This window comes from Homo sapiens, chromosome 13 (assembly GCF_000001405.40).
Source record: "Homo sapiens chromosome 13, GRCh38.p14 Primary Assembly".
Classification (NCBI taxonomy): Eukaryota; Metazoa; Chordata; class Mammalia; order Primates; family Hominidae; genus Homo; species Homo sapiens.
In genome coordinates this window covers 36,829,699-36,857,420 of record NC_000013.11, presented here as the reverse complement: position 1 = coordinate 36,857,420, position 27,722 = coordinate 36,829,699, and the positions used below count along the sequence as shown (strand labels likewise).

The following is a 27,722-nucleotide window of genomic DNA, read 5'->3' as shown; positions in this document are numbered from 1 at the left end:
AGCCCAAGATGTGGGTGGAACTTGCTTGAGGGCTGCATTGCCAGTGTTCTCTTTATGATCTCAGGCAGTACTTCCTTTGGGGCATTTATTCCTTATTGCTAGGAGTTAGAACAGGCTGCAGGATTGTAACACTAGCTTTTCCTTCCACTTCTAATGCTACTAAATTACAATAATGAACATATTAATGGCATATTTGATTGCAACTAACAGGTGTGATGTCTCTTTTAAGCATTTCATACAGAACTGTCAGAATGTAGGCTGCAGTAAAATCTGCACATGTTCATGCTTTTCCTGTACCGTTTTAAAGGAATATCACTGGCTAGGCATGGTGGCTCATGCCTGTAATCTCAGCACTTTGGGAGGCCGAGGCAGGTGGATCACCTGAGGTCAGGAGTTCGAGACCAGCCTGCCCAACATGGCAAAACACCATCTCTACTAAAAAGACAAAAAATTAGCCAGGTGTGGTGGCAGGCGCCTGTAATCCCAGCTACTCGGGAGGCTGATGCAGGAGAATCGCTTGAACCCGGGAGGCAGAGGTTGCAGTGAGCCGAGATCGCGCCACCCCATCTCCAGCCTGGGTGACAAGAGGGTAACTCCATCTCAAAAAAAAAAAAAAAAAAAAGTGCAGGTCACCCGGCCTCACCCTGGACCTGCTGAAGTAGTGATCTGTTTTAATAAGCCCTGCAAGTGGTCTTAGTGCAAGCTAAGGTTTAAGAACCACTGCTCTACTCTGTGGTGATCTTGAATCTGACACTGGCGTTTAAAGCTACTATTCTGGCCTACCAAATGGATGCAAATAACATTGTTGGCCTACTTGACTCCTCCTCAGATGCTGGTGTCTCTAGCCAGAATCTGGCCTCCCTCACCCTGAGGCTGGGTTCCACCCTTTTCTGGTGTTTCTGGGCGGGCTCCGCATGCTGGTCCCATTGGCTCTGCTCTTCTCTCTCTGGATGCTGGACGACTGCCTACCTGCCCAGGCTCTTCTCTGCATTGGTAGCTTTGCCAAAGTGGACTGTGGTTGCAGATGACCTGAACAGGATTGAAAACCAACCCCTGAAGATAGATAACAGACTCAGATAACAAAAAAATCGTATTTATCTTATGTAATAGGTTTTGAGAGGATTACATATTTGAAGGTCATTCAATTCACATACCGACTAAATCCTTAGCAGCTCCACTCTGGCCCCTTCACCTGCTTTCCCTCTTGAAAAAACCTCCGCCCACCCTCACAAGGCAGGTCTTTCCCCTTTGGAGCCCACAGGGGTTGTTGTAAGAGGCGGTGTTTGCATTTTGCCCTGGCCTGGGGTTCTCTTTATGATCGTGAGGGTCCAGCCAAGTAACTCTCCCAGCCAGTTAGGACCATCCTTCTGCCCCCTGGCACCACCACCTAGGCCCTGGGGTTAGGGCCCAAGGCCATTCAGGAGAGTGGGTAACAGCGATGAGATAGAGGAGGGAGAGGAAGGCTGAGGGAAGCGGAGAAGGGGAGCCAGTCTCTGACTGAGGAAGAGGAGAGGCAGTGACAGGACAGTCGTGGACTGGATATCCAGGGCTGTGCTTTAGCTGTGCGACCCTGGCTCAGTTTCTTCAGAGTGATGTGGTTGGGATACATACTACTCAAAATTGTTCTTTTCTAAAATTTTATTAAGGGAAAAGGAAACAATAAATATGGTGGGATGTAATCACATATAATGCAGAACTGCCTCAAGTGCTACTTAGGACCTGACAAAGAAACTCCCAGCAGCTATGTCAGTAACGTTTCCTAGATTCAGAGTCATGCACACGAGGCCCTGAGCAGCCCTGGAAGCTGTGAGTTCTGTTCTTTAAAAGTTTCACAATTAGACCCCAAATATATAAGTATATTCTGGATTGTTTCTACAAACACCTTATAACTGCATAGTGATCATATGTATAATCACATTGACTTCTAGTGCTGGAGACTTTTTTTTCCCCATCAAAAGTGGGAGTAAAATTGTTCTGATATTTAATATTCACTAGACTAGAATTTCTTCATTTTTTTCTAACATCAGTCCCTCGCTATACATTTATATTAAATCTCAAACCCAGACATTTAGAGGGAAAGGATCAACTAAAATTTAATTTGGAATGGAAATTAGCATGAGCAGCAACATTCTCAGGATGCTTTTCTTTTTTTTTTTTTTTTTTTTTTTTGAGATGGACTCTCACTCAGTCGCCCAGTCTGGAGTGCAGTAGTGGCGTGATCTTCGCTCACTGCAGCCTCCGCCTCCCAAGTAGCTGGGATTACAAGCGTGTGTCCCCATGTCCACTTAATTTTTGTATTTTTTAGTAGAGACAGGGTTTCACCATGTTGGCCAGGCCAGACTTGAGCTCCTGATCTCAAGTGATTCACCTACCTTGACCTCCTAAAGTGCTGGGATTGCAGGTGTGAGCACCCAGCCTCAAGATGCTCTTTTGAACTTTAATTCCAAGAATATTAGATAAAGTGATGTAGGCTATATTTTGCTTATGAGTTTTTATATTACTGTATCTGAAAATGTAGAAATTTCACTTCACAAATCAAAATAGACATTATTTATATGATTTATATTAGTGGATGACAAATTTAATTGAAATAGATCTCTGAGGTATTTGTTAAGAGAAACAGATTTATAAGTATTGGTAAATTTTTTAAGTGTCTTTTATTGTTTCCTCTGAGGTAGGTTTAATATGTGCACTTAAGTTACATTTTCATGATATTAACTGTGTCCAGTTTTAAATTTTAAAATTTGTGGGCTGGGTGCAGTGGCTCATGCCTGTAATCCCAGCACTTTGGGAGGCCGAGGCGGGTGGATTACTTGAGGTTGGGAGTTTGAGACTAGCCTGGCCTGGCCAACATGGTGAAACCCCGTCTCTACTAAAAAACAAAAATTAGCCAGCTGTGTTGGCGGGCACCTGTAATCCTAGCTACTCAGGAGGCTGAGACAGGAGAATCACCTGAGCCCGGGAGGCAGAGGTTGCAGTGAGCTGAAATCGTGCCACTGCACTCCAGCCTAGGCGACAGAGCGAGACTCCGTCTCAAAAAAAAAAAAATAAAATTTGTGTATGTACAATGAAGGATTACTTGATTTTTTTGTGTGATATATTCACTTCATTTCTAATATTATAAAACCTTATTTTTGGAACAAATAAACAGGAATGATGGGAGGAATAGTATATGAGACCTTACTGACTGGTTCTTGGGAGTGATTGTTAACATGGGTTGCAATCCACTTTTATTTTTTTATTTTTATTTATTTATTTTTTTGAGATGACATCTTGCTCTGTCACCCAGGCTGGAGTTCAGTGGCGCTACCTTGGCTCACTGCAACCTCTGCCTCCCAGGTTCAAGCAATTCTCCTGCCTGAGCCTCCCGAGTAGCTGGGATTACAGGTGCCCACCACCATGCCTGGTTAATTTTTGTATTTTTAGTAGAGAAGGGGTTTCACTGTGTTGGCCAGGCTAGTCTTGAACTCCCGACCTCAAATGATCTGCCCACGTCGGGCTTCCAAAGTGCTGGGATTACAGGCGTGAGCCACCGCACCCAGCTGCGATCCACTTTTAAATGGATTTGTGGAAAAAGCACAGATTATCATTAAACTAAGCGGCATTTAGGTCACACATCTCATTCATCTGATCAGTGATCTGACAACCTGATGGGAGAGTCACATCTCCTAGGGTTTCAGGAATCAGTGGGAGAGGCACGCTATGAAAGGGCATGTGAAGGAAGGCTGTGTTTTTGTGTCTGCAGGTGTGCACTTGTACTACGTCGGGGGAGAGGTGTATGCCGAGTGCGTGAGTGACAGCAGCATCTTTGTGCAGAGCCGGAACTGCAACTATCAACACGGCTTCCACCCAGCTACCGTCTGCAAGATCCCCAGCGGCTGCAGCCTCAAGGTCTTCAACAACCAGCTCTTCGCTCAGCTCCTGGCCCAGTCAGTTCACCACGGCTTTGAAGTCGTGTATGAACTGACCAAGATGTGTACTATCCGGATGAGTTTTGTTAAGGTAAGGAGTGCTTGCTATCACGTTATAAAATGTTCAGTGAAAAACAAAACAAAAAAGCACCCTGACTGATGTGGCAGGCAGTTGTGCGGTCAATTCTGATAGACAAAACCAATTTATTATTATTATTATTTTTTGAGACGGAGTTTCACTCTGTCACACAGGCTGGAGTGCAGTGGCATGATCTTGGCTCACTGCAACCTCTGCCTCCCGGGTTCAAGCGATTTTCCTACCTCAGCCTCCCGGGTAGCTGGGACTACAGGCACGCACCACCACGCTTGGCTGATTTCTGTATTTTTAGTAGAGACAGGGTTTCACCATATTGGCCAGAGTGGTCTTGAACTCCTGACCTTGTGATCCTCCCATCTTGGCCTCCCAAAGTGCTGGGATTACAGGCGTGAGCCACCGCGCCCAGCCCAAAACCAATTTTTTTGAATTCTATTGTTTTTAGGAGGAGTTCCTCTTTGAGTATAAACTGTCTTGTTTAGCAATTATATGAAAATTGTTACACATTACTTTTGAGGAAAAACAAGGTGGCTATTTGATTGTTTTTAATGCAGATGATAAAGTAACAACAGTAATTTTACAGGACTAGTGCAACAGAGATTTTTTCCATCCTTCCAATTGCCAAGCACTGTTATCACTCAGTGAATGTTGGTGAATTTATCTGAATTCAGTAAGATACTCTCCTTACTCTTAGAAAGCATACAGGCACATGGAGGAGATAATATTTATGAATAAGCTACAAAAATAGGCAGGGTTGGTTCTAATACAAGATAATAAACTAAGTAGTGTTATAAAGGTATAAACAATTTGGAATAGAAACGGGTGTGATTAATTCAGAGAGCAGTATATGTTCTGTTGATGAATATTTGTTGAATTTCTCATATCGAATCTTATTAAGGTTGCTATGAAGGCTGGAGAACCAAGGAAGTTTCTTAGTGGGAAGGAAAGACAACTGGGTTTGTATATGGAAGTGAAAGCCTTCAGTTTCATCACCTGCTATTTTGTCTGTTGCAAAGTACTCGCAAATGAGTCTAGTATTTCAAAATATGGGCTTATCAAAGTATCGGGGTATGTGTGACAGTTTTCTTACTGCCATGATTCCATCCAGGGAATCAGCATGGCTTGTTCCAGGCATTTTTTTCAAAGTAAATTTTATTAGCACTTTAAAATTACCATGACAAATAATTTTTCTATACTCAAATTATGTTTTTATTATCACTTTAGTAATTATTTAAAAAGTAAGAACAATATAGTTTCCAATTTTAAAAAACAGCTGCTTGAAATTATTTCTCTTTCATGGTGACAAAGCAGTTTCATTCAAATTTAGTGTTTTGAAAGCATATATTATAAAGTTATATTAACAAATAACTTCGAAATCTTTTCAAATGTTCTGTTGCTTTAGAAACGGCAGAGGGCATCATTTGAATCATACAGTTTTTTTTTTTTCCGGGTCTGTGTTTTTAAAATTAGGATGAAATGCCAATATCTCATAGGTAATTATTTCACTCTGATTAAATATAAGCTTATATAGAAATCTGATTTTCCTAATAACTAGATACATTTCTCAGATAGGCAGCATTTACATTCATAAAGCTACACAATTGACACAGAAGACAAACTGTTCCTAATACTGCAGGAACTTTTAAAATAAATACATAGTAAATATAACTATAGATCATTTTTTTTTAACATTTGAGATGAGCAGCTGTAGCTACCACTGGGCTGATGGATCAGATCTCTTTAAGGTTTCTTTCAGCTCTGATTTTTACTGATTCTAGGACTTAGTCAGTCAACAAATGTTTATTGAGCACCTGCCATGTGCAGGCCAGGCACGTGGGACATGCCAATGTTTACTCACAGATCTCTGACCTCAGGGAACCAATATTCTAGGAAGGAGAGATGGATAATAAACAACAGCCAAAACACAGAAGAAGGATGGAAAGAGAAAGTCTGGGGGCAGGGTGAAGGGAATTGGAGCACGGGGGCAGTGGAGTCATCTGCACATGAGGGTGGGCCTCATTGAAAAGGTGACAGGTCAGCAGAGACTGGAAGGAGACATGGAGCTAGGCCCAGGGACCCCTGGAGGAAGAGCAGAAGAAGAGGGAAGAGCAAGGCAACAGCATACACCTGGAAACTCTGAAGAGCAGGCAGGCCAGTGTGGCTGGGGCCTAATGAGCAGGGGAAGTGAGATGAGAGCAGCCGCAGGGAACCATAGCAAGGCCTCCTGAACCTCTGCTACGAGTTCAGCGGTGACTGTAAGGAGGTGGCGAGCTTTTGCAGGGATCAGAGCAGAGCATTTTCATGATCTAACTTCTATTCTTAAAGGATCGCCCTGCCTGCTGTGTGGAGGATAGATATTATACAGGCAAGGTTGCAAGTAGGGAAACCACTTAGGAGGCTATAGTAATAGTCAGGTGAGAGTCGCCCCCACCTGGAGGGATCCAGTACAGCTGTGAGAAGTGGAAGGATTCTGAATTGTGAAGGCGGATCAGGCGTGGGAGAAAAAGAGGAAGATGAAGTTAGTTGCCTTCAATCAAGATGGAGAAGACGCAGGTGTAATTGAGATGTCCGTTGCATTCAAGTGGAGTTGCTGAGTAGCCAGTTCGATATAAGAGTCTGGATTCGGGGAGAGAGGTTTGGGCTTGAAATACAAATTTGGGAATTGTCTGCAAAGGGACCGTATTTAACTCCCTAAGTGTGGATGAGAACACCAAAGGTTTGAGTTTAAACTGAGAAGAGCCGGGCGTGGTGGCTCATGCCTGTAATCCCAGCACTTTGGGAGGCTAAGGTGGGTGGATTGCTTGAGGTCAGGAGTTCAAGACTAGCCTGGCCAACATGGCAAAACCCCATCTCTACTAAAAATACAAAAATTAGCCAGGCGTGGTGGCGCGTGCCTGTAATCTCAGCACTTGGGAGGCTTAGGCAGGAGAATCGCTTGAACCTCGGAGGCAGAGGTTGCAGTGAGCTGAGATCGCACCATTGCACTCCAGCCTGGGTGACAGAGCCAGACTCCATCTCAAAAAAATTAAAATAAATAAATAAGAAAGGGGGCTCTAGGACTGAGCCCTGGGACACTTCAACATTTAAAGATGGGACAGAAGGGACAGAATCAGCAAAGAAAACTGAGAAAGACCAACCAGTGAGGTAGTAATAAGACCAAGAAGTGTGGTGCTTTGGAAGCCGAGAAAAGACAGTGCATTGATGAGAGGATGTGATGAACTAAATCAAATGCTGCCCACATAACACAAAGGCTGAGAGCTGATCATTCATTTTAACAATATGAAGGCCTTTTTTGATCTTGACAAGAAAAGTTTTGTTGGCGGCTGGGGTGAGATGATGATCAGAATGGATTTAAGAGAGAATGGAAGGAGACAAATTGAGATGGCTAGTATGGATGACTCTTCTGAGGGTTTTTGCCAGAAATGGGATAAAAACATAGGGCAGTAGCTGGTGGGGGGTGGAGAAGTATCTTGAAGGTGGAAGACATTTCAGTGTGTTCATATGTTGACGGGAATGATATAGTAGACGCAAAAGATTGCAGGAGAGAAGGGGAAGATTTGCTGGAATGATGTCTCTGGGAAGGCAGGTCTGAGAGTGCATTAATGGGTGGACCAGCTTATTTGGAAACACAAATAATTAATCTGTGGTAAGAGGTAGAAAGGCCAAGTATGTGGATGCAGGTCCTGTGGAAACTTATTTCTGATGTATTCATTTTTCTCATTAAAATACAAAATAAATATCAGTTGCAGGTATGGACAGGGAAAAAGGGGTTGCAGGTTTTAGTGGGGAGGAGCGATCACCTAGGAGGGGGACATGAGAGAAGGGACTGGGGGGTGGGTTGTGACTGCCGGGGACATCACAGGTCCACTTGAGGTTCTCAGTCATGAAAGTAAAATGTGATCAGGCAGCATGGTTGTGTTGAAATCCAAGTTTTAAAAAACTCTACAGAGAATCACTGCTCCCAGTCACAGAACTGATTTACTTGGCTGTGATCTCCCTTCATTTTTAAATATCCTTTCATTGATATATAACATATAGAGAAAAATATGCAAATTAAAAAAAAAAATTTTAACTGTCTCTCCTTTGAATGGTGATAAAAGGGAAATTGCCAGTTGAACTAGAGAGAGAGAGAGAGAGAGAATAAGCAAGCTTTGATAATGAGCCCTGAAAAACCAAGAGCGCCTTCCAGTTCTGTCTTTACCACTTTCAGGTCCAGTCACTGGTCTGCAGTAACCATTTTGTGCAAGACACTGTCCTGGGCATGAAGGGGTGAACAAAAGGTCAAGTTTCTTCCTTTGTGGAAGGGAAAATGATTTTTCAGTGCTTCCCGTGTGACTGGAGTGCCAGAACCTCTCTAGATCCGAGTATTCAGTTGTGAACCCTGAGGGAATGCACTGATTTGGATTCATCTGAAGGCATCTGGTTGGTGTGAGAGTTGACCTGTGTTTACAGGAAGGTAGAGGCCATGTTCTCTCCCTCTCAGGTCTCAGGAGCTACGCTGGGGTGTGGGCTCTGTGCCCCGCTGAGCTCTGCCTGGGGCTCTGGAGGCTGAGTGTAAGTGTGGCACCATCACTCAGCTCCTTTCTTGTTTTTCAGGGTTGGGGTGCTGAGTATCATCGCCAGGATGTCACCAGCACCCCCTGCTGGATTGAGATTCATCTTCATGGGCCACTGCAGTGGCTGGACAAAGTTCTGACTCAGATGGGCTCTCCACATAACCCCATTTCTTCAGTGTCTTAACAGTCATGTCTTAAGCTGCATTTCCATAGGATAGAGGCTATTGCAGGGAGTGGCTTGTATCATTTCAGATTTGCAACTGAAGTTTCTAAAAACATGTGTAAATACATAGAATGTATACTGTTCTTATTTTTTTTAATCACCGTTTGTTTTGTGCTTTCTAGTTAACCTGATGCCAGTACAGTGCAATTGGAAAAGCAGGACTTTGGTGCCTGTGCTATAAGCAGCAGATTTTGTGGGAGGAAACACTTGAGAGGCGATATTGTCAACAGTATTTGAAGGGTGTTAGCAGAATAAAAGACAGCTTTAGTCAGCCGTGTCATTATAAAGCATGTTGTGTGGCCTCACAGAAACATTGAAACTGTTTATACAGCAAAAGTCAGGTATTAGCAGCACTAAAGCAAATATCACTCAGATGAAACAAAGCAGTGAAACCCCTACAGTTTAAATGATGTCACTTTTAGTGCTGTTGGCAAGAAAAAAAAAACAACAAACTTGTACAATGAATTAATGAGATAGGCCATAGAAACTTTATTTCTAAGGTTGACATACCTATAGCTGGGCTCCTGTGCTCATATTCAGTGGTACATTTTAAACAAACTGTGATCGGAAAAGAAAAAAAACTGTGAAGCCAAAAGTCATGTTCCCTCAGTCTACCACTGTAAAAACAGAGTCTAATATGGGAAAATAAATATGAAAATAGCATGAAATGCTGTTTCCCAGATTGCAAGATAAGACCAGAACTTGGTCCAAGAGCCAGCCACCCAGGGAGACTCCTGCTTTCCACAGAGGAGACCAGGTTCCTGTCGTGCTGGTTGTTCGTGTCAGGCAGTCCTGCAAACTTTGAGTCTGCGCAGCGTGCCAGAATAGCTTGTGTTTCAGTCCTGTGTCAAGAAGCAGGTGAAACCAAAGGTTGGAGAAAAGCATCACACGTCGACTTACACTTTCTCATTTCCCACGTTCCAGTCTCCTGGGAAGGGCACTCTTTCGCCACGTTTTCCTGCCTCTTGGCAAATATTAACTCTTTGCAGATCACTAAAGCAACAGTAAAGACTTTGAGAAAATCTAGACACATTATTGGATCAATGAGTTATTTAACCTAGTGTCTAGTGATTATCTAACCTGGAAATAAATTCCCAAGGAAAGTGATAATAATTTCATAATCATCTGCAATTTCTGGGGAACAGTGGTACTGAATAATAAGACATCTTTTAAAAATATACACAATATTAAAAACCTGTTCTTATTTTACTTTAGATGAGGGAGGAAAATCCCCCAAATTTCTAGGTACTTTCATATATATACTTGCCATGCACTAAACACTGCATTGCTTGGAAAAATATTTCACACCCTCTTTAAAAATGTACAATTTAAGATGGCAGTTATGCTTGTAACAGACAGCACTTCAGTAATCCAAGAAGTTTCTTCATTTATACATTTTATCTCAACTCTTTCTAGCATTAGTGCACATGGTAGTTTTTCTAATTAAATTGTATTCAAGGTAGAAATGATCATGTGAGAAAGATATATGATTGAGCTACTACTGTCACCTCTTACAGTTACTAGTGTTAGCTAATAGAAACTTTCATATATACACATAGAAAAGAATTATTACATTTTACATTGAAAAATGTAATATATGGCCCATGTAGTGTATAGAAAAATCTGTAGTTTATTGGTTCATCAACTATGTATTGTGCACCTACCTATGGGTGTCAGGTACAATGTTAGGTACTGTAGAATCAAATGTAAATAAGAGACAGTCCCAGCCCTCAGGGAGCCGAGAACCTAATAGTGAATCTGTTTGTACAGACATCTTCATGTTTCAGAACTTTTAAAACAAAACAAAATAATGTAATCTATCATCTTTTGCTTGAAAGAATGTGATTGATTTCTTATCTCTGTTTTGAAATTATTTCCTTACTCTTCTGCAAAGTCAGGTAATGGATTCCTTGTATAAATGCTACTTTTCTTCCATGTCTCAAAGTTGTTTTTTTTCCTCCCCTTTCTTCCCTGTTTTCCAATAATTCTCCATGTCCCCTTTTCTTAGAAAAGGCATTAATATGGTGAATCTTGTATGGGAACCATTCCATGGGAGAACTTCAACACAGTTTTTGCTCCAGAGATCAAACATAGCTTTCGTGATCTCTCTACCAGCTATCTAACTTATCCTCTGGTAATCTTTTTTTTTTTTTTTTTTTTTTTGAGATGGAGTCTCGCTGTGTCACCAGGCCAGAGTGCAGTGGCGTGATCTTGGCTCACTGCAACCTCTGCCTCCCGGGTTCGAGTGATTCTCCTGCCTCAGCCTCCCAAGTAGTTGGGACTACAGGCTACCACGCCCAGCTAATTTTTATATTTTTAGTAGAGACGGGGTTTCACCATGGTAGCCAGAATGGTCTCTATCTCTTGACCTTGTGATCCGCCCGCCTCAGCCTCCCAAAGTGCTGGGATTACAGGCGTGAGCCACTGCGCCCGGCTTCCTCTGGTAATCTTACACCTTTACAGAATTAATCTAAACTGGTGGCTCATAAATGACATTAAAAACAAAAAAAAAATCTGGATGCAGTGGCTCATTCCTATAGTCCCAGCACTTTGGGAGGCCAAGGCGGGAGGATCATCTGAGCCCAGGAGTTTGGGGCTGTAGTGAACTATGATCATACAACTTCATTCTAGCCTGGGTGACAAAGTGACACCCTGTCTCTAAACAAAAATCAAGAAACAAAAAACTTGTATTTCCCTGCAGCTTTGGGAAGCCAGAACACAATATTGCAGTGAATCTGAATTTTCTGTGACAAATAAATTATTAAATTGGCACATATGATCATCACCAGTCATGTCTCATCAAAAGCCTTTATTATGATGCTTGTACATTTTGAAGAATTTAGAATTAATGAGAAGTTAACCCTTTAGTCATTGTAACACAATCATATTTTAATCAGCTTTTTCTTTTGCTACCAAGAGTTTCAAAAAATAAATGCAGTATTTGATTTCAGGCTGCTAAATGGGCTCATTTAGCATTCATTCCTTGATGTAGACATTAAAAAAAAAACTGAATAGCATTCTTTCCAGGATAACTAATAAAGCAGACATGCTAAGCCTATAAATACATCAGCACTGCAGCACACGTTTAAGGTTGCCACGGACAAGGATCACACAATAGAGAACACTGTAGTAACATTTCGGTCTGCTCACAAGACCCAGAACATTGATCAGTTTTTGTTGTTGGTTTATTATTTTTCTGTTAAAAAATTGTGAAAAGTTTGTTTTAGCTAGATGATATTTTAATAGCTGCGAGTGCTTTGGAACTATAAAGATGTCACTACTTAACACATATACCTTATGTTTTGTTTTGTTTTGTTTTACACTCAGTATAAATCAGGAGAAGTTAGCCAACCATCTAGCATTTAGAATCCTCTTTTTTATTGTCTTCTAAGGATATGGATGTTCCCATAACAGCAACAAAACAGCAACAAAAACATTTCATAAATATCACTTGATAGACTGTAAGCACCTGCTTAACTTTGTGTCCCAAATATTTAGTGTGTATATATATATATATATATACACACACACACACATATATATTCAACAAATAAAGCAAAATATAACATGCATTTCACATTTTGTCTTTCCCTGTTACGATTTTAATAGCAGAACTGTATGACAAGTTTAGGTGATCCTAGCATATGTTAAATTCAAATTAATGTAAAACAGATTAACAACAACAAAGAAACTGTCTATTTGAGTGAAGTCATGCTTTCTATTATAATAACTTGGCTTCGGTTATCCATCAAATGCACACTTATACTGTTATCTGATTGTTTATAATAAAGAATACTGTACTTATATGTCTTTTGGCTCATTTTTCCTGTAAACCTCATAGAAGATTCACTGTATGTGGGTCTGCAGCTCCTTAAGTCAATTAATTTTAAACCATTCTATTTTGAAAATGGGATGTTAAATTCCACATGCTATAGAGAAATTAGGTAGTGGTTTTGAATTAAACACCTTAGAATAACCGTCATGAAGTATAGTTCTTGAAGATACTTCACAGTAACTTTAGAAAGGATATATGTAGAACCTTTTTCTGGATAGTAGCAAATACGTGATATTGCAGTATATAGGAAAGAATGAGCACTTTCATTATTGTAAACATCTGTACATTGCTACAGATTGCCTATTAGAAAGGTGCTAAAAGGCAACTGGTGAGGGAAAACTAAGATGAAATCCAAAGAAATATGAACACATCATCTAAAAATGTAAATTCTCAATTCCTTTCATCTAAATTTCCTTCTAATCTTAAAAAGGAAGGGGAAACTCTATTACCTATAAGCAGCTTTCTTATTTACTTGATCAGAGTTGTCAATTTTTTTAACGAAATGGAGCTCTGTATTCAAAAAAAGTGTTTTGTGGAACTCCAAAATAAAAACACATGAAAGATATGCCTGTTTAGATCCTGGTGGGGACCGTGAAGCCTCCAGTTTACACTGTAAGTTTCTGGAGAGCAGTGATTGTGTCTTGTTTGTCTCCCATGGTTCCCGACCCTGTGCTTGCATCTAATATTTGGTATTGGCATTTCAAACACGAATACACATTCTTTAAACATATCATGGTACAGACATAAAATACTGTCTTTAAACATCAGCCCGTCTTAGAGAAGAAGTATTTTCATCATCCTAGACTCCTTATATTTACTTGTCAGATAGTTCTTATGCATCAGCAGGCACTGTAGATACAATGACAAAGTTTCTACTTTTAAGGAGCTTACCATTTTGTGGAGAAAGGTGAACAAGTAAACCAATAATAAGCAGTGTGCTGTCAGCTGTGACAAGCTGCTGGGACCACCGAGTGACATCTACATCAGGCCCTGGGTGAGTACCAGGGAAGGCTTCTGGGCCGATCCAAGTTGCCATCCTTCACGGCAGTTCTCTTAGTAAATCATCCCAGGCATTCCTAAAGCAGGTTAGTGCCTGCTGTCTGTGTTCCCATAATACTTTGTGCCCATCAATGGTCAGTATCAGTTCCTGCACCCCACTGTTGTTTACTTATCCATCTTTCTGCCAGGCTGGGATGTCTTTAAGGACAGGGATTCCATTTATTCATTTTCAGCATTTTCCAGCTACTGTTTGTTTAGAAAGGCTTTTGGGGATCACATTGTAAAGGCAGAAATGGTAGTTATTTTTAGCTCTTTCTTTAAAAATATCCGAAAGTATTTAGCTTCTCCTTTCAAAATAAAAAGCATTGCCAGTCCGCAGTCCGGCCTGGGCGACAGAGCGAGACTCCGTCTCAAAAAAAAAAAAAAAAAAAAAAAAGCATTGCAGGCCTCCAACTGCATATCACGTAACCATGCACAGCAGATAGGGATCAGAAAAGCGTGCTTGTGATTTATTTTGGAAATAGTTATCCAGCTGCATAGCAGTAGCAAGGAAAAGTAGTTTTAGCAATTAAACAGTTAAAATTGCTTTTATTCTAAGTATTTATTTTCACAATGTGAATTTGAGTATGAGAAGCATAAAGAATTTTGATGTTATAACACCAAGTTAACAGACACTAATTCTGAAAGTTTACCTCCGCATGATCACTGATGGTTCCATTATTTGCATACATCTAATAAAAATGTTAGGCAAGGCCTCAGAATGACTCTTAATCTAAATGCCAATGTTAAATGGAGTAAATATAAGGAAAATTATATTCAGTTTGGTTTTTAAGCCAAAGAGAATTCACACCTGCAACGTGTTCTTTGAAGAGAACGCTTGCAAGTGGCAGGCTAACTTCTCTCTAGTCTCATCATTTAGGAAGGAAAAATTATCAAAACAGGCCAGGAGCGGTGGTGGCTCACGCCTGTAATCCCAGCACTTTGGGAGGCTGAGGCGGGTGGATCACCTGAGGTCAGGAGTTCGAGACCAGCCTGGCCAACATGGTGAAACCCCGTCTCTACTAAAAATACAAAAATTAGCTGGGCGTAGTGGAAGGTGCCTGTAATCCCAGCTACTCAGGAGGCTGAGGCAGGAGAATCGTTTGAACCCAGGAGGCGGAGGTTGTGGTGAGCCGAGACCGTGCCATTGCACTCCAGCCTGGGCGACAGAGCGAGACTCTGTCTCAAAAAAATAAAAAATTAAAAATAAATAAAAATCATCAAAATAATCCATTGATATTTAAGCATAATTTCAAATATTCTGAACATCATGCTGTAAAAGTGTTTTGTCTTTTTTGATGCCATAACAGCATATACTTTCTTATACATTCGGTCTTCAAGCTAAATACAATACCATTTTACAATTCATTTGTTAACACACTTGCTTTTCTTGACCCAATTATTTTAAAACAAATTAAATATAGCCCATCACTAAATGAATGTGGAAAGTGAAATTTGTCTTAATAAATACTGAAGGGTATACTGAAATGATTATAGTACAATGTTTGAAACATGTTGATATGCAATAAAATATTTTAAACAAAATCATTTCTTTCATACACCATGAAAAAATGTTAAATTGATTTTTTTCTAAGGGAGTTTGTGAGATTATAGATTACCGTGAAAGGGGTTTGCAAACAAAAGTTGGCAGAGTTCCTATTTGTTTCTCCTGGTTTGGCATAAAAAGGAAATACAAAGCTCAGTGCTGAAGGACAAGAGAGGGCTCTTCAACTTGCTGAAGGAGTGGAAAAGAACTAAAAGGAATGGAAAGAACTTTTGTGAAACAATGATCCATTGGCATTATACCATATAAATCATGATGGCTTGACATAAAGGAGAGAGGCAGAAATAGGCAGGAGCTTGGAGGTAAAGGGTTTTGCATACTAAACTGAGACATTTGAACTACAGGTTCTTAAATCTACAATGACAATTTAAAGCATTGCTACTAGTTACTTTAAAAAGCAACAGTCTATGATAGACCCTCCTTGGGGCCCCCTGAATCATGATCCCCCCATCCTTGCTCCAGACATGCTACAGATTGCTTTGGAAAATCATGTTGGAAGACATCTGAGAATTTGGGAGTTTAAGGCTCCAAATTGTCCCACTGCTTATAAGCTTTATCTCTACGAGTTTGGTTGAGGTTTAGAAAGCTTTGGGTAAGCACCAGAGGGCACTCAATGTACAATAAATATTGCATATTCTAACTTGAGGGAAATGGTTTTTTGATTCAGAGTATGCAATTGGCTGGGTGTGGTGGCTCATGCCTGTAATCCCAGCACTTTGCGAGGCTGAGGCGGGTGGATCACCTGAGGTCGGGAGTTCGAGACTAGTCTGGCCAAAATGGCAAAACCCTGTCTCTACTAAAAATACAAAAGTTAGCTGGGTGTGGTGGTGTGTGCCTGTAGTCCCAGCTACTTGGGAGACTGAGGCACGAGAAGAGCTTGAAACCGGGAGGTGGAGGTTGCAGTGAGCCAAGATTGTGCCACTGCACTCTAGCCTGGGCAACAGAGTGAGGCTCTGTCTCAAACAAGAAAACAAAGAGTATGCAATCATTTTTCTTACAAGTATTATAGCATACAATCTAATTGGCCACTATTGTGTATACTAGCTAAATTTATCTTTTAAATAAGCAAGATACTAAGCAATGCTTGCCTTAGAAACGTAATGAGATTCACCCCCTACCACTGGAAGACTTTTATTAATTTCCTGTTGCTGCTGTAAAAAAGTGCCACAAATTTTGTGGCTTAGAACAGCATAAATTTATTTTACAGTTCTTACCCTTACAGTTCTTGAGGCCACAAGTTTGAAATCTGTCTCACTGGGATAACGACAATGTGGTGGCATGGCTAGTTCTTTCAGGAAGCTCTAGGGGGAATCGTTCTCTTGCTTTTCTTTTTTCTTTTCTTTTTTTTTTTTTTTTTTTTTTTTTAGCTTCTGGAGGCTGCCTGCATTCCCTTGGCTGGCTATGCTTTTCTTGAATCTCTCTAACCTGTTGCTTCCATCATCACATCTCTTGTTCTTCTGTAAGCAAGGGTTCCTCTTATAAGGACACGTGTGATTACATTTAGAGCCCATCCAGATAATTCAGGTTGATCTCTCCATCTCAGAATCCTCAACTTAAGCACCTCTGCAAAGTTCCTTTTGCCACATAAGACAACATCAACAAGTCCTGGAATTAGTACATGGATATCTTGTGGGGGCATTATCCAGCCTATCACAAGACTCTACTACTGATACTAGAGGGAGGCAGGGAAGTGCTGGGTAGAGAAGGGTGGGGTCCCCAGGCGAGGGCTCCACGCTCGGGCCTGTGCCCACAGACCTAAGTGAGAACAGGGATTCCTGTTTTCGCACCCAAATGTTGCACTTCCCAAGACCACTATGGCCTGCCATGCCCCCATCCCATGGCCCTAGAAACCTGAGACCTTAGCAGGCACAGACACAAGTGGCTGGACATTGAGAGGAGCAGAGAAAGAGAGTGGCAGAGAGTGACAAAGAGCGGGAGTGGCAGGGCGGCATGGCAGAGAAGGAAGGAGGCGTCCGTCTACCGAGAACAGCAGGACTCCAGGGGAAGATCACGTTCCCACTCCATCCCCCACTTCCGGTTCCGCATCCATCTCGCTGAGAGCCTCCACCACTCAATAAAACCTTGCACTCATCCTTCAAGCCCACGTGTCATCCGATTCTTCTTGTACACTGGGCAAGAACTTGGGATACAGAAAGCTGTTAAACTGGCCACTGCCCTTGCAATAAGGCAGAGGGTCTATCGAGCTGATTAACATAATCCTTCTGCAGACGGCAAAGCTGAAAGAGCACACTGTAAGAGACGCCCACTAGGGATTCGGGAGTCACAGACAGCCATCCCTAGACGCTGCCGTGAGGTCAGAGCCCAGAAGCGCTCCCCACGGCCTCTGCACCTGCCCGTCTGCATGCTCCTCCTAGGGGTTTGAGCAACAGGGAAACCAAAAGAGTGAGCCATACCCATGTCGCATGCCCCGCAAGGGGGATAAGGGAATTCTCGTTTCACTAGTTATCTTGCGCTCTAATCAGAACCATTATCAATGGAAGTTAATGGTTAAAAACCATTATCTATTGTTAATGTTATTAGATTGTATCCATTTCCTTTAACATAGGGTCCTTCTTAACAGCTGTCAGCTGTCCAATAAACCAAGAATTTGACTGACTTACTGTGTAACTACGGTAGGTTTCACTTCAGTGACCTCCAACGAGCCACACACATCCCAGTGTTGATGGCCACCCACATGACTTTGGGTTAGCTATGTGACCTAATTTGGCCAAAGGCATGTTAGCAAGCATTATGCGAGCAGAGGTTTGAATGAGTACTTGCACAATGGGGCATGTCTTCCTGGAACAGTACTCTTGGGAGCAAGCCCCCATGCTAGACTACTGAATGAAGAGATGTCTGTGGGTCAGGTGCAGTGGCTCATGCCTGTAATCCTAGCACTTTGGGAGGCCAAGGCAGGTGGATCACCTGAGGTCAGGAGTTTGAGACCAGTCTGGCCAACATGGTGAAACCCAGTCTCTTAAAAATACAAAAAAAAAAAAAAAAAAAAAAAATTAGCCAGGTGTGGTGGCACATGCCTCTAATCCTAGCTACTCAGGAGGCTGAGGTAGGAGAATTTCTTGAATCCAAGAGGCAGAGTTTGCAGTGAGCCAAGATCGCACCATTGTACTCCAGCCTGGGCGACAAGAGCAAAACTCTGTCTCAAAAAAAAAAAAAAAAAAAAAAGAGATGACTATGGACAGAGGCTCTGGAGAAGGGGCCAGCAGAATCTCTAAAGGCCCAGATAGTAAATATTTTTGGCTTTGTGGGCCATGTGGTTTCTGTGATTGTCACAACCACTCAGTGCTACCACTGTAGTGCAAAAGCAGCTGTAAATAATACATAAGTGAATAAGCTTGGTCATGATTATGTTCCAATAAAACTTTGTGGACAATGAAATTTGAATTTCATATAATTTTCACATATCACAAAATATTTTTGTTTTGAATTCTTTTTCAACTATTAAAAAATGTAAAAGCGGTTTAATTACTGCAAATGTAAAAATTACTGCTCATGGCAGTACAAAAACTGAGCATGGGTTGGATTTGCACAGGGGCCTTTGGTTTGAAGCCTCCAGCTCTGGAGGATGGGAGGTCATCTTGACTGTCCAGTCACAGCCACACTCCCATCTGAATGCGGCCTCATGAGATACCCCAAGCAAGACTACCAGAAGAAACTCTCAGCTAAGTTCAGCCGACCCACAACATTGTGAGGAAAAAGAAAAAAAAAAAGGTTGTTATTTGAGCCACTGTGCTTTGGGGCTTTTTGGTTATCTAACACATGGAAACAGTAGCCAAACCTGTAGTTGTGCCTATCATTCAGGTGTTTGGAATGTTGATAAACTTTGCCTGCTGTTCATCAAGAGGTCTCAGGTAAGCAGCTTATCACAAAATACAGGCAGTACCTGCAGTTTATTATATGGTTGCTACTCTGGTTCTGATCAATATCTTGTTCAACTTGCTATGCCTGTATGTCAGCTATTTAAGAGATTTCTGTTCAAAATTCTTACTTCCTTTTCCAAGATCATGTGAGAAGGCTTGCCATTTTGGTTGCTAGAAATAAACCCATCAATTCCTGCCTCCTATTGATAGAGGCATGAGAGAGCCAAATGCCTAGGCAGACAGGGAAGGGTCCCCAGAGAACCTCTGACCCATCCAGGTCATTGTGCACAGGGGGCTTGCCTAAACACGCCCACGGTGAAAAATTCTGTCCCTTAACAGGTGCACAATATCGGAAATAAATCAATATGGAATGGCTCAGACTAAGGGCTCATATGCACACTGAGGGAATGGGGTGGAGCCACCAGGAATTCATGCCTTATGCAGGGGAGGAGCCTGGTCTCTTCAGCTTGTTTGTGGTGACCTGGTATTCAATTTGTGAGGTGGGAGCCTACTGGTGGCCCCCCCCCCCCTTTTTTGGTGAGGGTTTTCTTTTCACTTAATAAATTCTGCCCTCTTCACCTTTCAATGTGCCCTTGTGCCTAACTTTTCCTGGCTGTGAGACAAGAACCCAGATTTAGCTGAACTAAGGAGCAAAAAATCCTGCAGCACTATTATTAACACTAGGGATGAGCTATTACATTTCCCAGCAAGGGCACAGTGTAGGCAGTCAGGCAGCACTGGCCTCTGAGGACACTGCCGATCCTGCCACTGCTGCACTTGGCATAGTCACCACAGTGGTCCCAGCATCTGACCTTCAGCACATAGCCAGAGAGACACTCAGGGACTGGTGATCTGCTGCTCAGAAAGCATTCAGCACTCAGCCTTCCTCTCCAAACTGGGCACCTGAGATTTGCTCTGAATGTCTCAGTTCTAAGTTGTTCTTGCCCTTCAGAATGGGCAGTCCCTGGCCTGGGCAGGGGCTAGAGTGACTTTCAATTGCTAACAAAGCAGGACATATTGAGGAAAGTGAGATACGGGGTGGACTTTATAACTCATTAAAGGTAGCAAATGTCTGAGACTAATTGCAAAAGGCAAGTGATTCTTTGTTGTTGGCATTAAAGAGGTGAAGAAGAAATAGAGGAGACACAGTAATGTATCATTTGGGCATGTTACCCAGAGAAGGGCACCCAGATAAGAGAGCAATGCTTGTTTTTTCTTGGACAAGCATTTCCCTGGCCAAAAGCGTTCACCTAACTACCCCAAGAGGCAGGGTGTACATGTCATGATGGATAGTTTAAAAAGAAAAGGCCAGCTCTGCAAGTATAAGAGGAACTCAAAAATAAGAGTCTCAGCACACCCTGCTATGAAGCAAACTTGAGTTTCCATACTAGCAGACAATTTTAGGTTTTCTTAGAAAAATATTGATCTCTGTAACACTCAGTTTCCCTCATTTTTTTTGTTTTGTTTATGGAGACAGGGTCTTGCTGTATCACCCAGGCTGGAGTGCAGTGGCAGGATCAGGGCTCACTGCAGCCTCAACCTCCTGGGTTCAAGCGATCCTCCCACCTCAGCCTCCTGAAAAGCTGGGGTCACAGGTGTGCACCACCATGCCCAGATAATTTTTGTATTTTTTGTAGAGACAGCATTTCACCATGTTACCCAGGGTGGTCTCAAACTCTTGGGCTCAAGTGATCTGCCTGCCTTGGCCTCCTAAAGTGCTGGGATTACAGGTATGAGCCACCACACTGGCTGGTTTCCTTCATTTTCTGAAAAGGATTGCTGTCACAATTACCCTCACTATGCCCCCCACAAGTTTCTGCAGATGCTTCTAATCAGCATGATGGTGAAGTGCAGGTATGCATGTATAGTTTAATGATATAACCATATTACCATAATAAACACTAACAATTTTAACGCTAATATTTAATGTTAATTAATATATTACTATTAACATATCCTGCTGCTTATTAGATTTTCAAAGGCAACCGGTATAAAATCTTATTAGTGCTGACTGTGGTCTCCAATTTAAGAAGAGTAAATCATTCAAGGTGCAATTATAGGAGGAACACAAACAGAAAATCCCACTAGTCATAACTTATCTTCCAGTTGTCTTCCTCAGCTTTCCGTTTTTGTTTTCATGCTGCACCTACTCTTGGAACCTCTAAAGCCCAAGCTACAAATAGCTCATAAAAATCAGCATCTGTGCTTATGGAATACATCTTAAGGCAGGCTACATCCTTTTCTGCTACGAGGGTAAAGCTCTGAAGAGGAAAGATTTATTTTGCTGCAGTAGATGATTTTTTAGAAAGTTCATCTCCAATGCTTTAGAATAATCCAAACAACTATTTGGAGGATGGAGTACTACACGTTAGGCGTAATGGGGGAAACAGCTCATCTTTTGATTAAAAGGTGAGATCAACTCACCTAATTATTAAACATGTCAATTATTTTCATTAAAATGTTTTAAAAACAACTGTTAACTTCAAACTCAATAAAAGCAGTATTTAAATCAGATTTTTTTTTTTCTATAGTGAGGCAAGTCTGCTAGATAAACGGTAGTTCAGCCCATTTTCAAATAAACTGCTATCTGCACACAGGTCCTAATCTATGTACCTTCAACAGTATCTGTGGTCATGAGTATAATATTCATTTTTCTAGCTAAGGAAGTGAGAAACTAAAGACAGTTAGAAACTGAGGGTGTAATAATGATTTTCAAAAAATTCTAAAATTTCCATTTCAATGAGTTACACAAAAGCAATTAGAGCTATTTGACAATATTCATATTAATTATATTTTCTAATTCTAGAAAAAGAAATGGGACATTATAAATCAGTAATCGTTTGAAAGATTCCAACTTGAGACTTTTTAAACCAAGACTAGAAACCAAGAAGCCATAAAAGAAATGTCAGACATATTGAAATACACATGAAGTAAAAGCTTCTATGGCAAACGATACCATAAAAAAGTAAACAAACACATTTTAGATTTGGAAAAAAACAGGATAGAAGTGACAAAGGGTTAAATTTCATGATATTAATCAGACTTTTTACACCCTGAGCTAGAAAAAGGAAGCCTAACAGAAAATAAGCAAAAGATATGACTAAGCAATTCACAGAACAGCAAATCAAAATAAACAGCAAGCATATGAAAAGATACTTTAGGCTGGGCACAGTGGCTCACACCTGTAGTACCAGCATTTTGGGAAGCTGAGTTGGGCAAATTGCTTGAGCCCAGGAGTTTGGGACCAACCTGGGCAACATGGCAAAAACTCATCTCTACACAAAATATAAAAATTACCCAGGAGTGGTGGTATGCACCTGTGGTCCCAGGTACTCAGGAGGCTGAGGTAGGAGAATCTCTCGAGCCCAGGAGGTTGAGGTTGCAGCGAGCTGAGACTGCACTACTGCGCTGTAGCCTGGGCAACAGAGTGAGACCCCATCTCAAAAAAAAAAAAAGAACAAGAAAAGAAAAGATGCTTTAATTTACCAGTATTCCAGGAAACGCTAATAAACGTAATAATACTGGCAAAGATGGGAGGGAAATTAATTCTTTTTCATTTGCTGGTAAACATGTTAAGTGTTACAGATTTCCTGGGGAAAGGAATATAACAACATCTATTTAAAGGAAACATGTAGCCCTATACTCAGCAATCCCACTTCTGGAAGTCAATCCCGAGGCCATAAAACCACCAATATATACCGCTATATAAGGACACATTACAAGGATGTCTGCTGCAGCACTGTTCATAGTGGTAGAAAATGACACCAAGTGAATGCCTATCAACAATGGAATAGTTGAATAAATGATGATGCATTCATATCATGAGATACTCTGCAGTCATCTAAAGGAATGACTTAGAGCTATACAAGTGACTCAGAGGGACTTCTACACAGTACTGCATAAAAAAGCAATATACTGACAGCGTGTATAATATGCCCACACTTTTATGTAACAATGACAATTCTAAATGTATATATGTGTTCATATATAATTATACAAACATGAAAAAAACAGACTACATACTGGGTAGTTGACAAAGGTTACCTGGAAGTCGGGTGGTGCATGGAAGACAGAGGGTAAGAAAATTTTAAAAAGGAACAGAAGGGGGTAAAAAGTTAAACAAAAACCTCTCAGTATATACAATACGATTATTAATGTATTTATATAAAATTGTATGTGTATGCATACAGAAAGTTTCATTTAAAAAAATTTAATTACTTAGCATTTATTGAAGGGCCTACTGTGTTAGAATAGGCACTTGCAGTCGGGCGCAGTGGCTCACACCTGTAATCCCAGCACCTTAGGAGGCCAAAGTAGTCAGATCATTTGAGGTCAGGAGTTCAAGACCAGCCTGGCCAACATGGTGAAACTCTGTCTTGGCTAAAAATACAAAATTAGCCAGGCGTGGTGGTGCATGCCTGTAATTCCAGCTACGCGGGAGGTGGAGGCAGGAGAATCGCTTGAACCCGGGAGGCAGAGGTTGCAGTGAGCTGAGATCGTGCCACTGCACTCCAGCCTGGGCGACAGTGAAACTCCATCTCAAGAAAAAATAAACTAAGCACTTGAAAGTGTTAGTTTTTACTTTAGCGACAACATACTAATCTGGAAAAAGCATCATTTCTGGAGACAATTTTAGGTTCAAATCTTGGCTCTGGCTCTAACAATATGACCTGTTTATACGTCACTTTAACTTCTCTGAGTTGCTTTCCTCATGTCAAAACAAGGACAATACTACTTGCCCTGCAATGTTTTGAGGTTCAAATAAATTAGCACAAATGAAAATACTTCCTAAAATAATATAATTAAGGTTAACATAAAATCTGTCTTTTAACACATTCCAAAAATCAAGGCTTAATTTGTGCAAAGGCTTTATTCTTATGGCCCCATGATGGTGCATCCACTGCCGAAATGCAAGGGGCGTGTCCAGATTGCACTGGCCCGTGACGAAAGCTTCCAACATTGTGCAGTAAGTCATTTGGAATCAGAGGGCCTGGATTTAAGTCCAATAGCTGTGCAGTCTTGAGCAAGTAATTTAACCTTGAAAAGTCTGCTTCTGTGTTTATAAACTAATAATTGTGCATGCATTACGGGATTGTTGTGGAGAGCAAGCAAATATGCATAATTGTTTTGAAAACTATAAAGTGCTAGAAAATTGGCAGATTTTGTCATATTGTTTTTAGATTATACTTTCTTGGTGTATCTCCAGCAGGGAAGTATATATTTTGGACCCCAGGATGGCCTGTAAACTCCAAGGCCTGTAAATCTCACTACACATAAGTGTTACATATATGTAAATAAAGATTCACAAGTAAAACACTTTTTGAAATTTTTTAGAAAAATAGAAAGCAAAGGAGCAATTACTGTAAGCACAAGTTGTCTATACATCTCAATTTCTTTCCTTTTTTTTTTTTGAGACACAGTTTCACTTTGTTGCCCAGGCTGAAGTGCAGTGGTGCAATCTCAGCTCACTGCAACCTCCGCCTCCTGGGTTCAAGTGATTCTTGTGCCTCAGCCTCCTGAGTAGCTGGGATTACAGGCACGTGCCACCATGCTCGGCTACTTTTTTTTTTTTTTTTTTGTATTATTAGTAGAGAAGGGGTTTCACCATGTTGGCCAGGCTGGTCTCAAATTCCTGACCTCAGGTGATCCACCTCCTCAGCTTCCCAAAATGCTGGGATTACAGGCATGAGCCACCATGCCTAGACATCAATTTCTAACAAGATTTTGTTTTAGTTTGTAGTAAGAACAACATTTCTGAAAAGGTCATATATGCATGGTAAGAATTCAAGCAATATAAAAGATCATTTCAACAAAAGATTGTCTCCTGACTACTGAACCCTCTCATCCCACACCACCAGTGCCCCAATTTTCCTTTGTGGCAGTTTGGATTAGCTACACCTGAAGCAAAACATTATTCCATAGTTTTCTACTTTTTTTGTCTTGCCATTTTTAAAATCGTTTTCGCAATGCTCCAGAGCTCTGTTTGATGAGCTGAAGCAAAATGCTTTGAGCTTCTCCTTGAGGTAGGTCCTCCCTGAGTGACTTTCCTGCCATTAAATCCTAAAGGCTTATTTAATTGCTCCAAATCAACTCTTCAAGCAGAAGCCTAATGGTCTAGCTGCTGAGCATTTCTAAGGGCCAAGTGTATTGATAAATATTATAGAATAAAAATTGGGGCTGTCACTAATTGAGTGTAATGAGTACTGCTCACTTCCTGAGTCCATAGATTCCTAGCTGAAATACCTTGTGCTCTCATTCTTCCGACACTTACACTGCAATGTCATAGGAACCTCCAGTCTCCATTAGCCTCATTTCTTCTCTGCTCAGCTCAAACCTATTCCTAAAAGTCCTTTCAGAAGCATCCTAACGTCCTCATCCCTTACTTATTGCACCAAATGAACCCTACATCAAGCCTATCATCTATGTTTCCTACTAATACAGATGGCTGAGCCCAGTGAAACAGCATCACATAACTGCAGATTGCCATTACAAATTCCTGGTTTCCAGTAGGCCAAGTCCTTAATGCCACTTGTCAATCCTTTTCCCTATAGTATTATTTAGAAAACAGATTTGGCTGGCTGTCACAATAACAACAACCGTGGTTATACCATCATCATAACTGGTAGAAACAATACACTCCATTTCTTTTTCCCATAGTAGTTGAAAGGGCATCCCATGCTAGTGTGGTGGCTCAGTTCCTTGAGGACATCCAGGGACACAGATTCCTTCTATTTTGTTACTCCGCCTTCCCCAGTGAATGACCCTCATTTGGCCCATAGATGCTCCATTGCTTTGTCCACATTCCAGGCAGCAGGATGGAGGAAGAGAGGAAATGGGCTGCTTGCCCCGGGCTGCCATCTGGAAGTTGCACTTATCACCTGTGCTTACATCCCACTGGCCAGAATTTACTCATATGGCCACACTCAACTGCAGGGGTAGGTGAGAAAGTCTTAAAAAAATAAAATCAACTATTAAAAAAATTGAAGTGTAAAATATATACTGAAAAGTACAAAAATCATAAATGCATAGCGTGTTGAACTTTCACTAATAGAACACACATGCCTAACCAGCAACTGGAAAAGCAAGCATCTCTGGAACACCAGAAACCTCCTCAAGCCTCTAGACTGTATCCTGCTCCCACGGGTGTTTTATCCTGCTTCTCTGTTCTGACAGCATAGTTTCACCTGCTTTTCTACTTTATGTAAATAGAATCGTACACACGTCATTTGTATCTGGATTCCTTGGCATGGTATGTGAGAATCAGCTATATGGTTATATATGGCTATGTTCCCAACCCAAAATTCTACTATGAAAGAAGGGGAAAAATGCTCTCAGAGGACTACTAGTAGGCTACTAGCTACTAGGCATCTCTCTTTTTTATTTTTTTGAGGCAGTGTCTCACTCTGTTGTCCAGACTGGAGTACAGTAGTGCAATCGCAGCTCACTGCAGCCTCTGCCTCCTGGGTTCAAGCAATTCTCCTGCCTCAGCCACCCAAGTAGCTGAGATTACAGGCATGCGCCACCATGCCTGGCTAATTTTTGTATTTTCAGTAGAGACAGGGTTTCACCACGTTAACCAGGCTGGTCTCAAACTCCTGACCTCAAGCGATCTGCCTGTCTAGGCCTCTCAAAGTGCTGGGACAACTTTGGTGAGCAATCGTCCCAGCCGCTACCAGCCGTCTCTTTCACTGACTTTAATGTATCTTCCTAATATTTTCTTTCTAAAGCCCCTTACTACTTCCTGCACCCCACATTATCATATGACTGATTTTCCAGCTTTGCTGGAAAATGGAAGCTGTGAATTCCTTTATGTTCTTATTACTACAAATAGACATGTATATTTATCATATCTCCTCAAATGAACTGGCACAGAATCACTTGTGCCATATTTTGTTAGAGCAGTCATAAGCCTGCCCAGATTCAAAAGGATAGAAAAGAAAATTTATATCTTAATGGACAACAATGCATAAGAGCATGTGGGGTGAGAGATACTGTGCAGACATCTTTGAAAAATATGGTCTGCCACACCTAGCTTGAAAGCATTTGCACAGCTATTTTAAATCACAGTAATCATATACAGAACTGTGAGAAATAATAATGGCTTCAAGCCATCAAATTTTCAGGTGATTTGTTTTGCAACAATAAATAGCAGCTAGGTGTATCAGCTACCTACTGTCACAAAAATGCTGCATCTAACACACTACCCCAAAACTCTGTGGCTTACAATCATAATTTATAATTGCTCACAAATCTACAGGTCAATTTGGTGGCTCTGCAAATTTGGGCCAGGCTTGGCTGATCTCAGTTGGTTATCAAGTGTATCTGCGGTCAGCTGGCAGGCTGGCTGGACAGCTTATCTAGCATAGCCTCATTCACATGTGTGGCTGGTTGAGAGCTATTAGCTGGTACAATACAGGTGACTGGACTATGTGTCTCATTATCCAGGAAGCTAGGCTGGGCTTCTTACCATGGCAGCAGGGTAGGACTCTAAAAAAACAAGTGGAAATGTTCAAAACTCTCAGAAGTCTATTCAGAGATGGCATCTTGTTATGTCCTCTGCATTTTACTGGCAAAAACAAGTCACAAGGCCAGTCCTCTAGATTTAAGGGGTAGGTAAATAAAC

The 27,722-nt window shown here is 41.3% G+C and overlaps 1 protein-coding gene across 20 annotated transcripts in view, besides 1 other annotated feature; it reads left to right on the top strand.

Moving 5' to 3' along the window:
- SMAD9 (SMAD family member 9) overlaps positions 1–12,590 on the top strand; it is a 76,024-nt gene extending 63,434 nt beyond the window's left edge. For 12 of the 20 annotated variants that reach the window (XM_047430366.1, XM_047430365.1, NM_005905.6 and 9 more), the window contains 2 exons: positions 3,746–4,002; positions 8,602–12,590. In XM_047430366.1, coding sequence (XP_047286322.1) covers positions 3,746–4,002; positions 8,602–8,745 — 401 coding nt within the window. In that variant the 3' untranslated portion in view covers positions 8,746–12,590. Of the gene's footprint in view, positions 1–3,745; positions 4,003–4,903 lie in introns of all 20 variants that reach the window. The other 8 variants (XM_006719827.4, XM_005266404.4, XM_005266403.4 and 5 more) reach the window with 1 other exon arrangement.
- Positions 16,567–17,301: an enhancer, noted in NCBI's record as "H3K4me1 hESC enhancer chr13:37414257-37414991 (GRCh37/hg19 assembly coordinates)". NCBI's record gives its function as "activates a minimal SCP1, AML or CMV promoter by ChIP-STARR-seq in naive and primed H9 embryonic stem cells {active_cell/tissue: H9 hESC(naive and primed)}" and the evidence as "EXISTENCE:reporter gene assay evidence [ECO:0000049][PMID:30033119]".